The sequence below is a fragment of the Homo sapiens genome, chromosome 3, assembly GCF_000001405.40.
Source record: "Homo sapiens chromosome 3, GRCh38.p14 Primary Assembly".
In the NCBI taxonomy this organism is placed as follows: Eukaryota; Metazoa; Chordata; class Mammalia; order Primates; family Hominidae; genus Homo; species Homo sapiens.
Genome location: NC_000003.12, coordinates 22800416 through 22813200, shown reverse-complemented (window position 1 = coordinate 22813200; position 12785 = coordinate 22800416). Strand labels below are relative to the sequence as shown.

Here is a 12785-nt window from a genome sequence, read left to right as displayed (position 1 = left end):
GTAAATCCTCAAAAGTTTACAAAGGAATTTAACATTCTCATAGGAATTTACCATCAGGACACCCTGATGATTACCAATTTATTTACATGATATTTGGACTTGATGAAGCTTGTAAATGGATAGCAGCAGTAGAATGGAAAGAACTTGAGCAGGATATTAAAGACTTCTTCTTCCTCGTGAGAAGGCATGAAATGAGCTGGGAGCGTCACTAAAAACCATTTAAATTCAATCCTTAAGGTTTTTCCACAGAAAACTGATTGGACCAACACATATTCTTGCAAGCAGAAGAAAGATGAGCTGGTTTCACATTACGGAGATCATTTAGAAACAACATTTGTAAAATATTCTGTGTTTAAAATACAACAAGGGAGTATTTCCTTGAGAGACTGAAATGGCATTAACTGCTTTATTTATAAACAAACTTTGTCCTAAATGTAGCAGTCTGATTAAGAAACATAAACTGGCTGGGAGCAGGGGCTCATGCCTGTAATCCTAGCACTTTGGGAGGCTAAGGAGGGTGGATCACTTGAGGTCAGGAGTTCAAGACCAGCCGGGTCAACATGGTGAAACCACGTCTCTACTAAAAATACAAAAATTAGCTGGGTGTGGCTGCGGGCACCTGTAATCCCAGCTACTTGGGAGGCTGATACAGGAGAAACGCTTGAACCCTTGAACCCTTGAGGTGGAGGTTGTGGTGAGCCGAAATTGTAAAATTGCACCACTGCACTACTGCCTGGGCAATAGAGTGAGACTCTATCTCAAAAAAAAAAAAAAAAAAAAAACAAAAAAACAAAAAACCAAAACAAACAACAACAACAAAAGCATAAAGTGGATAGGAAGTTATAAATATAGCTGAATTGGTAGCTTTAGCTGAACACCTTGAGAGGACTTTAAAATAAGAAAAATTGCCAAAAGCTAACAAACTTATTTCCCTCCAATTACAACTATTGCAGGGATTAGACCAAAGGGACTTTTTCATCCTTATTTCCTTATTTTATCCTACAACCAAAAGACCTAGACTAAAAAAGTCTTTATCCCAATATGTCTGCCTTTATGGCAAACAAACAAGACATAGGAACAGAGATTTTTTATTTTTTTATGCCAGTCTACCAATAAGCCTCCTCCTTTTAGACCAAATTGAACTGCTTCCCCACTCAGAAGGCAATATGGTGGCAATTCTAAAATGCCAGCTGGAAGAGAAGTAAAAGCTGCTGTTCATGGAGTGGGAAGATGTGTCTGTCCCCAAGAGCAAACTGAGGGAACTTAGAAGGAGATGTCGTGAAAAATGTCAAGACAGCAGTCTGGGAGGCCAAGGTGAAAAAGCAGCTGATGGCCCAGAAGTGACCATGTGGGCCAACTACTGGGAGCACATGAAGGAGGTGCAGCAGATTTAGGGCAAGATCTGGATTCTTCAGGGGCAGCTGCAGAACTCCATCCTGAGGGATACCTCGAACCAAGCCATGAGCCATGTGGGCGGCAAGCAGAATGTGGAGCTGGCCAAGCTCTGGCAGGAGCTCAGCAAGGAACTGACGAAGTCAGAGGCTACATGACAGGAGGAGTACAGGTGGAAGGCCAGCAGAGGAGGAGTCCTAGCAGTCACAGGTCATAGTGAAACATCTCAAAGGTATTGTAGAGAAGCTAAAAGGGGAACATGAAAATTCAGATCAGGTGAGGGAATGCACCTAGCATCTGGAGGCAAAGCTGGAGAAGCACATGGAAGCTGCAGCACTGAGGGCCAGAACTACACCAAAGAGGTGGCAGGGTTGAGGCAACTTTAGATAGAATCTCAATCTCAGCCAGATGCATCCAAGGGTGAAGCCCATAACTGTAAAGGGAATGCTAAATCAGCTAGTGCTGAATGGATAGGATGTGCAATTAGAATGATACCTATATGATTGATCCAAGTCAATGTTTATGATGATCTATGTAATAAACAACGCAAAGCCCCTGATTTGGAGAAAAAAAATTGGTATCTGAAAGAAAGTAAATTCAGTGTTAAGCATGGACTCACGCAGTGCCTGGATGGCTACCTGGTCCTCCCTGAGTCCTTGAAGATTCCCTTGTTAAGAACTTTGAACTCTACAACTCATGTAATAGGCAAAATGATCCAAATTATAAAAAAAATCGGTGGGGTGACAAAATTGCTAAAATAGTTTGTGCCTAATATTTGGTTTGCCAAACCCATAAGCCTTGGAAGACAATCAAATCTCCAGGCGGCACCTTTCTGCTACCTGAAGGACCATTTCAACATTAACAGTGGGATTTCATTCAATTACCACATTAAACAGGATACGAATACAATAGTGCTTCCTTATCTACAGTCTTGCTTTCTATGGTTTCAGTTACCTACAGTCAACGGTGGTCCAAGAATAGGTGAGTGCATACAGTACAATATTTTGAGAGACCACATTCACATAGCTTTCACTGCAGTATATTGTTGTAATTGTTCTATTTCACTATTGTTAATCTCTTACGGTACCTAATCTATAAGTTAAACTTTGTCATAGGTATATATAGGAAAAAACATAGTACATGTAGGGTTTAATACTACCCATGGTTTCAGACATCCTTTGTGGGTCTTGAAACATCCTCCACAGACAATGGGGCGGGGCTACTGCCTGTGATTGTACTGGTCTATGTTTCTGGTTGAATAGCTTTTCTGTACAGGAAAGATAATGCTATAATGGTAGCCAAGAAGCTATCAAGAATGTGTTTATTAAGTAACAGATATTTATAAAATTTTGTGGTCATTTTTATGTAAATTAAAATACTAAGACATTAACTGCTGAGTATACATGTATAATATGTATTTTGGCATCTTGTTTTTATACAGCATAGAGAAACTAAATATGGGTCTGTAAATAAACGTGGAAATTGTGTTATGAGGAAACACATTTCTAAAAGTTATAAAATGGTGCTCACCTACCAAATGCTGATAGGAAACATTTCAAAATTGCTTACTTCCTAGGTTTTCACTGGAAGTTGAGGTTTCTGAGAGTTAGAAATTCTAATCAATATATGGCAATTGAGAATGGTGATGATAAGGGAAACAACTCCTTATGTGAGGAGGCTGGGATGTAATTTTGGTAAATGAAGTTTACATAAAGGATGTGTTCTTGTTAGGGGAAAAGGAGAGTAGTTTTTGTCCTGGAGTGCAGTTCCAGAGTGAGAGGAAGGGAATGTGTAGGACAAGTAGCTGAGAGGATAAGAAGGTTGTAGAGATGAGAGCTTGACCAAAAGAAGAGAATTGTTAAACAAAATTTGGAGGAGGCTATTGATTTGGCCTAAGCTCCTGCACGAGGCCCCACAGACAAAACCAATATGAGGTTCAATCACAGTTGTTGACCTTTAGGTAATTGGGGGAGGTTCTGTAACCAATCAACCAATTAAACTGTAACCGTGTAAGTTGTCTCTATACTTCACTTACATTTTCTATAAATGCTGCCTGGTCTCATTGTTGACCAGAGTTCACAGAACTTGTTCTGGTTCTGAGGGCTGCCTGACTGACAAATCATTTTTTTGTTGTTCCTCAGACTTGATTAAATTTAAACTTAAGATTTTTTCTTTTCCTTTTCTTAGAACATTCTTGAGAAAAGTTGTAATTGAAAATTCTTTTTCCGCCCTTTGAGATGTAAATCTTCTCCCAGGCTCTTGCCAGTTTCATAACTCAGGAATGTCTTTCTAAAGGACTTGGGAGCCATCCCTCTGAAATGTACTCATCAAATACACTCCGTCTCCCAGTTTCTGTGGAGAGGGTAGGAGCCTAACTTCTACAAGCAATAATTAGAAAATACATATGGTCTAGTAAAATTGACCAGCTTCCCTACTGACATCCTGCAGTTTTCTTCCACTAGCTCATCCCAGTGCTTAGAAAGTTCACCTGCTTTTTGTTTCAGCAGAGTTGAGTTCATTCTCTTGCAATAGTCTTGTGTGCAGGCTTTGCTTATTTAACTCTATCTGGTGTAATTTCTTTATAAATTTTATATTTGACACATAATTGTGCATATTTATGAGGTGTAATATGATATTTCCAGTCAGGTATACAATGCGTAATGATCAAATTAGAGTAATTAGCATATCTATCACTTCGAACTTTTTTTTGTTTGTTGATCATTCAAAACCTTCTCTTCTAGCTATTTGAAAATATACAACAAATTATTAACTATAGTCATCCTACAATGTTACAGAACACTAGAACTTATTCTTCCTAGCTGGCTGTAATATGACAAATCTCCATGTGTTTATTTCAACTGTTCTGAATGACAGGTTAACTTAGAAAACTATTTTTCCCTCTGTACATTAAAGATACAGAAACTAGCACATGCTAATGATTTTTAATTTGTTTTAGAAGCAAATGTCCTTAAGGACACACATCTTAAAAGTTTTTTATTGTAAAATATGTATATAATAAAATGTACCATTTTAGCCACTTTAAAGTATACAGTTTTTGTCATTAAGTATATTTACATTGTTGTGCAACTAACACCATCATACATCTCCAGAACTTTTTCACTGGTCCCAACTGAAACTCTGTACCTATTAAACACTAACTCCCAATCTCTGTCCTCTAATGCCTTGGTAATCACTGTTCTATCTTCCATCTTTATGAATTTGCCTACTCTAGGTACTTCATAAGGGGAATGATACAATATTTGCCCTTTTGTATCTGACTTATTTCACTTAGCATCATGTCTTCAGGGTTCATCCAAGTTGTAGCATGTTTCAGAATTCCTTTGTAAGGCAGACTAATATTCCATTGTATGTATATACCACATTTTGCTTACCCGTTCATCCACTGATGGGTAATTGGGTTGATTTCACTTTTTGGCCATTATGAATGAGGCTGCTATGAACATAATATACAAATACCTTTTTGAGACTCTGCTTTCAACAGAAGTGAAATTGCAGCATATATTCATATAATGTTGCCACTCACCTACTTTACAGGTCTGATTTTCCTTTCAGACTGTGCTTCCAGCCACTCTCTTCTTGTCCTTGAAATGTTCACATCTTCTGTACCTGGAAAATGCCCTCACACCTCTCACTCCAATCTCTACTCCCAATGGCTAATTACTAATCAATTCTCAAGTTTTAATGGAAACATCATCTCTTCAGTGACAACTCCTCTGCTGACCTCCTAATTCTCCTAGTTGCAAGTTTTCGTAGCAGACTTTATGGCCCTCTTTTTTGACATTCATCATATTTGTTATCACTCCTTTAATGGTTATTTCCCTCAGCTTATTCTAAATTATCTAAGGTCAGGGAATTGGTTTACCATGGTCTTTGCCAAAGCCTACACTACGATTCCCTTTCAGTGCATATGCAATTACTTTGTGATGTATTAACTTGGCTAGGTTGAACTATATTTCCCAGATTTCCCTTTCTAGCATATTTCTGGTTAAGGAGAGCTATAAGGGAGATTCTATCTCCAGAGCTGGACTGTGGAAGGGAGATTGCAGCCATTTTGCAGCAAGTACATGTTGCTGCTGATCTACTGACTCGCTTCCTTGGTGTGAAGCAGCAACTGAGCCAGTGCATGTGTTTTGTCTCTATGAAGAAGGTTCTAGCTTTTTCAATATTGTCTTGTAACCATGGTCAGAGGCCTTGTAACCAAGGTCAGAAAATTCTGCTTCTCTGATTGAACCCTTGCTGAGACAGAGCAGATTGTTCTTTTCCTTTGTGGCTAATATAAATAGGACATTTTCTTGTTAACTTATGTGTCAGCTGCTTCTTCCAGTAGAAGCATAACATAGCAGTTAAAAGCAAAAATCAGGAAAAATTTGGCTTCTGTTTTTTTTTTTTTTAATTTTTTATTATACTTTAAGTTTTAGGGTACATGTGCACATTGTGCAGGTTAGTTACATATGTATACATCTGCCATGCTGGTGCGCTGCACCCACTAACTCGTCATCTAGCATTAGGTATATCTCCCAGTGCTATCCCTCCCCACTCCCCCCACCCCACCACAGTCCCCAGAGTGTGATATTCCCCTTCCTGTGTCCATGTGATCTCATTGTTCAATTCCCACCTATGAGTCAGAATATGCGGTGTTTGGTTTTTTGTTCTTGCGATAGTTTACTGAGAATGATGATTTCCAATTTCATCCATGTCCCTGCAAAGGACATGAACTCATCAATTTTTATGGCTGCATAGTATTCCATGGTGTATATGTGCCACATTTTCTTAATCCAGTCTATCATTGATGGACATTTGGGTTGGTTCCAAGTCTTTGCTATTGTGAATAATGCCGCAATAAACATACGTGTGCATGTGTCTTTATAGCAGCATGATTTATAGTCCTTTGGGTATATACCCAGTAATGGGATGGCTGGGTCAAATGGTATTTCTAGTTCTAGATCCCTGAGGAATCGCCACACTGACTTCCACAATGGTTGAACTAGTTTACAGTCCCACCAACAGTGTAAAAGTGTTCCTATTTCTCCACATCCTCTCCAGCACCTGTTGTTTCCTGACTTTTTAATGATTGCCATTCTAACTGGTGTGAGATGGTATCTCATTGTGGTTTTGATTTGCATTTCTCTGATGGCCAGTGATGATGAGCATTTTTTCATGTGTTTTTTGGCTGCATAAATGTCTTCTTTTGAGAAGTGTCTGTTCATGTCCGCCCACTTTTTGATGGGGTTGTTTGTTTTTTTCTTGTAAATTTGTTTGAGTTCATTGTAGATTCTGGATATCAGCCCTTTGTCAGATGAGTAGGTTGCGAAAATTTTCTCCCATTTTGTAGGTTGCCTGTTCACTCTGATGGTAGTTTCTTTTGCTGTGCGGAAGCTCTTTAGTTTAATTAGATCCCATTTGTCAATTTTGGCTTTTGTTGCCATTGCTTTTGGTGTTTTGGACATGAAGTCCTTGCCCATGCCGATGTCCTGAATGGTCATGCCTAGGTTTTCTTCTAGGGTTTTTATGGTTTTAGGTCTAACGTTTAAATCTTTAATCCATCTTGAATTGATTTTTGTATAAGGTGTAAGGAAGGGATCCAGTTTCAGCTTCCTACATATGGCTAGCCAGTTTCCCCAGCACCATTTATTAAATAGGGAATCCTTTCCCCATTGCTTGTTTTTCTCAGGTTTGTCAAAGATCAGATAGTTGTAGGTATGCGGCATTATTTCTGAGGGCTCTGTTCTGTTCCATTGGTCTATATCTCTGCTTTGGTACTGTAGCTGTCTTGGTTACTGTAGCCTTGTAGTATAGTTTGAAGTCAGGTAGCGTGATGCCTCCAGCTTTGTTCTTTTGGCTTAGGATTGACTTGGCAATGCGGGCTCTTTTTTGGTTCCATATGAACTTTAAAGTAGTTTTTTCCAGTTCTGTGAAGAAAGTCATTGGTAGCTTGATGGGAATGGCATTGAATCTGTAAATTACCTTGGGCAGTATGGCCATTTTCACGATATTGATTCTTCCTACCCGTGAGCATGAAATGTTCTTCCATTTGTTTTTATCCTCTTTTATTTCGTTGAGCAGTGGTTTGTAGTTCTCCTTGAAGAGGTCCTTCACATCCCTTGTAAGTTGGATTCCTAGGTATTTTATTCTCTTTGAAGCAATTGTGAATGGGAGTTCACTCATGATTTGGCTCCCTGTTTGTCTGTTGTTGGTGTATAAGAATGCTTGTGATTTTTGTACATTGATTTTGTATCCTGAGACTTTGCTGAAGTTGCTTATCAGCTTAAGGGGATTTTGGGCTGAGACAATGGGGTTTTCTAGATATACAATCATGTCGTCTGCAAACAGGGACAATTTGACTTCCTCTTTTCCTAATTGGATACCCTTTATTTCCTTCTCTTGCCTAATTGCCCTGGCCAGAACTTCCAACACTATGTTGAATAGGAGTGGTGAGAGAGGGCATCCCCGTCTTGTGCCAGTTTTCAAAGGGAATGCTTCCAGTTTTTGCCCATTCAGTATGATGTTGGCTGTGGGTTTGTCATAGATAGCTCTTGTTATTTTGAAATACGTCCCATCAATACCTAATTTCTTTAGAGTTTTTAGCATGAAGGGTTGTTGAATTTTGTCAAAGGCTTTTTCTGCATCTATTGAGATAATCATGTGGTTTTTGTCTTTGGCTCTGTTTATATGCTGGATTACATTTATTGATTTGCGTATATTGAAGGAGCCTTGCATCCCAGGGATGAAGCCCACTTGATCATGGTGGATAAGCTTTTTGATGTGCTGCTGGATTCGGTTTGCCAGTATTTTATTGAGGATTTTTGCATCAATGTTCATCAAGGATATTGGTCTAAAATTCTCTTTTTTGATTGTGTCTCTGCCCGGCCTTGGTATCAGAATGATGCTGGCCTCATAAAATGAGTTAGGGAGGATTCCCTCTTTTTCTATTGATTGGAATAGTTTCAGAAGGAATGGTACCAGTTCTTCCTTGTACCTCTGGTAGAATTCGGCTGTGAATCCATCTGGTCCTGGACTCTTTTTGGTTGGTAAACTATTGATTATTGCCAGAATTTCAGCTCCTGTTATTGATCTATTCAGAGATTCAACTTCTTCCTGGTTTAGTCTTGGGAGAGTGTATGTGTCGAGGAATGTATCCATTTCTTCTAGATTTTCTAGTTTATTTGCGTAGAGGTGTTTGTAGTATTCTCTGATGGTAGTTTGTATTTCTGTGGGATCGGTGGTGATATCCCCTTTATCATTTTTTATTGTGTCTATTTGATTCTTCTCTCTTTTTTTCTTTATTAGTCTTGCTAGTGGTCTATCAATTTTGTTGATCCTTTCAAAAAACCAGCTCCTGGATTCATTGATTTTTTGAAGGGTTTGTTGTGTCTCTATTTCCTTCAGTTCTGCTCTGATTTTAGTTATTTCTTGCCTTCTGCTAGCTTTTGAATGTGTTTGCTCTTGCTTTTCTAGTTCTTTTAATTGTGATGTTAGGGTGTCAATTTTGGATCTTTCCTGCTTTCTCTTGTGGGCATTTAGTGCTATAAATTTCCCTCTACACACTGCTTTGAATGCATCCCAGAGATTCTGGTATGTTGTGTCTTTGTTCTCGTTGGTTTCAAAGAACATCTTTATTTCTGCCTTCATTTCGTTATGTACCCAGTAGTCATTCAGGAGCAGGTTGTTCAGTTTCCATGTAGTTGAGCGGCTTTGAGTGAGATTCTTAATCCTGAGTTCTAGTTTGATTGCACTGTGGTCTGAGAGATAGTTTGTTATAATTTCTGTTCTTTTACATTTGCTGAGGAGATCTTTACTTCCAACTATGTGGTCAATTTTGGAATAGGTGTGGTGTGGTGCTGAAAAAAATGTATATTCTGTTGATTTGGGGTGGAGAGTTCTGTAGATGTCTATTAGGTCCGCTTGGTGCAGAGCTGAGTTCAATTCCTGGGTATCCTTGTTGACTTTCTGTCTCGTTGATCTGTCTAATGTTGACAGTGAGGTGTTAAAGTCTCCCATTATTAATGTGTGGGAGTCTAAGTCTCTTTGTAGGTCACTCAGGACTTGCTTTATGAATCTGGGTGCTCCTGTATTGGGTGCATATATATTTAGGATAGTTAGCTCTTCTTGTTGAATTGATCCCTTTACCATTATGTAATGGCCTTCTTTGTCTCTTTTGATCTTTGTTGGTTTGAAGTCTGTTTTATCAGAGACTAGGATTGCAACCCCTGCCTTTTTTTGTTTTCCATTTGCTTGGTCGATCTTCCTCCATCCTTTTATTTTGAGCCTATGTGTGTCTCTGCACGTGAGATGGGTTTCCTGAATACAGCACACTGATGGGTCTTGACTCTTTATCCAATTTGCCAGTCTGTGTCTTTTAATTGGAGAATTTAGTCCATTTACATTTAAAGTTAATATTGTTATGTGTGAATTTGATCCTGTCATTATGATGTTAGCTGGTGATTTTGCTCGTTAGTTGATGCAGTCTCTTCCTAGTCTCGATGGTCTTTACATTTTGGCATGATTTTGCAGCGGCTGGTACCGGTTGTTCCTTTCCATGTTTAGTGCTTCCTTCAGGAGCTCTTTTAGGGCAGGCCTGGTGGTGACAAAATCTCTCAGCATTTGCTTGTCTGTAAAGTATTTTATTTCTCCTTCACTTATGAAGCTTAGTTTGGCTGGATATGAAATTCTGGGTTGAAAATTCTTTTCTTTAAGAATGTTGAATATTGGCCCCCACTCTCTTCTGGCTTGTAGGGTTTCTGCTGAGAGATCCGCTGTTAGTCTGATGGGCTTCCCTTTGAGGGTAACCCGACCTTTCTCTCTGGCTGCCCTTAACATTTTTTCCTTCATTTGAACTTTGGTGAATATGACAATTATGTGTCTTGGAGTTGCTCTTCTCGAGGAGTATCTTTGTGGCGTTTTTTGTATTTCCTGAATCTGAATGTTGGCCTGCCTTGCTAGATTGGGGAAGTTCTCCTGGATAATATCCTGCAGAGTGTTTTCCAACTTGGTTCCATTCTCCCCATCACTTTCAGGTACACCAATCAGACGTAGATTTGGTCTTTTCACATAGTCCCATATTTCTTGGAGGCTTTGCTCATTTCTTTTTATTCTTTTTTCTCTAAACTTCCCTTCTCGCTTCATTTCATTCATTTCATCTTTCATTGCTCATACCCTTTCTTCCAGTTGATCGCATCGGCCCCTGAGACTTCTGCATTCTTCACGTAGTTCTCGAGCCTTGGTTTTCAGCTCCATCAGCTCCTTTAAGCACTTCTCTGTATTGGTTATTCTAGTTATACATTCTTCTAAATTTTTTTCAAAGTTTTCAACTTCTTTGCCTTTGGTTTGAATGTCCTCCCGTAGCTCAGAGTAATTTGATCGTCTGAAGCCTTCTTCTCTCAGCTCGTCAAAGTCATTCTCCATCCAGCTTTGTTCCGTTGCTGGTGAGGAACTGCGTTCCTTTGGAGGAGGAGGGACGCTCTGCGTTTTAGAGTTTCCAGTTTTTCTGTTCTGTTTTTTTCCCCATCTTTGTGGTTTTATCTACTTTTGGTCTTTGATGCTGGTGATGTACAGATGGGTTTTCAGTGTGGATGTCCTTTCTGTTTGTTAGTTTTCCTTCTAACAGACAGGAGCCTCAGCTGCAGGTCTGTTGGAATACCCTCCCGTGTGAGGTGTCAGTGTGCCCCTGCTGGGGGGTGCCTCCCAGTTAGGCTGCTCGGGGGTCAGGGGTCGGGGACCCACTTGAGGAGGCAGTCTGCCCGTTCTCAGATCTCCAGCTGCGTGCTGGGAGAACCACTGCTCTCTTCAAAGCTGTCAGACAGGGACATTTAAGTCTGCAGAGGTTACTGCTGTCTTTTTGTTTGTCTGTGCCCTGCCCCCAGAGGTGGAGCCTACAGAGGCAGGCAGGCCTCCTTGAGCTGTGGTGGGCTCCACCCAGTTGGAGCTTCCCGGCTGCTTTGTTTACCTAAGCAAGCCTGGGCAATGGCGGGTGCCCCTCCCCCAGCCTCGCTGCCGCCTTGCAGTTTGATCTCAGACTGCTGTGCTAGCAATCAGCGAGATTCCGTGGGCGTAGGACCCTCCGAGCCAGGTGTGGGATATAGTCTCGTGGTGCGCCGTTTTTTAAGCCGGTCTGAAAAGCTCAATATTCGGGTGGGAGTGATCCGATTTTCCAGGTGCGTCCGTCACCCCTTTCTTTGACTCGGAAAGGGAACTCCCTGACCCCTTGCGCTTCCCAGGTGAGGCAATGCCTCGCCCTGCTTCGGCTCATGCACGGTGCGCGCACCCACTGGCCTGCGCCCACTGTCTGGCACTCCCTAGTGAGATGAACCTGGTACCTCAGATGGAAATGCGGAAATCACCCATCTTCTGTGTCGCTCACGCTGGGAGCTGTAGACTGGAGCTGTTCCTATTCGGCCATCTTGGCTCCTCCCTATCCCAATTTGTGGCTTCTGTTTTGATCCTGCCTCTGACACTTACTAGCTTTGATTCAGGTCCCTCATCTGTAGAATGGGAACATTTAGAATATCTACCTAATAAAGTTGTTATAAGGATTAAAGTATTACTTTTATAGATCAGTACCTGGCATATATAAGTAGTATGTGAATTTGATAAAAATTTAATTTTAACAAAGTACTGTACAACTTTCAGGAGAGCAGGGATCTTTTCCCTCTTGTTCAGCACTTGGATCCCAGCACCTTGAAGAATGCCTAGAACATTGTAGGTGCTCAAGGCTTGACTCACATTGAATACCTTCCTGTATAATCCCAATCTCAAGGGCTAGCAATTTTAACCTGTGTGCTTCTTTCTTTGTTTCTCAATCTTTTGCCCATCGAATATGTCAAATATAGCACCCCCCTCTCAGTAATACTGGGGCCTCTAGAACATGATTCTCACTCTGAGATGACGGGCTGATTCAGAATCCTGGAATCCTGGAGTAGGGGAAGATAAATTAAAAATCTCTACAGGTGATTCTATGTATCCTTTTATATGATCCCACCTTCCTCAAGGATGTTTTCTTTGTGCCATGGTCAATGGTATTAGACTTTCCCCAAAGAGGTGAGCATTGTGAAATGATACCCCACTTAATAAATACAAGTGCATTCTCTTCTTTAATATTCACTGGCATGCCCTAACCAGTTAAAGTTTATAAGCTAAAAACACAGATGCTTTTTATTTTTGTAATAGTGATTTATTAATAATTCTCACTCAAAATCTCTCATTGCATCTTTTTTTCTGAAGTTTATTTTTCAGCTTTTCAAGTTTGTCTCAAGTTTGTTTTCTAACTGTGGAACACTGCAAGATGTTGATTGTATAAATTTGTCAAAATTAATATGACTCAGTCAACTCTGTCCTTTTGGTAGCCTACATTCATCCAAAGGTTCTTTTATTAGTAA

At 40.2% G+C, this 12785-nt stretch overlaps 1 pseudogene, besides 1 other annotated feature; it reads left to right on the top strand.

Moving 5' to 3' along the window:
* Positions 745-1565, top strand: RRBP1P2 (RRBP1 pseudogene 2; annotated as a pseudogene).
* Positions 10940-11537: an enhancer, noted in NCBI's record as "H3K27ac-H3K4me1 hESC enhancer chr3:22843155-22843752 (GRCh37/hg19 assembly coordinates)". NCBI's record gives its function as "activates a minimal SCP1, AML or CMV promoter by ChIP-STARR-seq in primed H9 embryonic stem cells {active_cell/tissue: H9 hESC(primed)}" and the evidence as "EXISTENCE:reporter gene assay evidence [ECO:0000049][PMID:30033119]".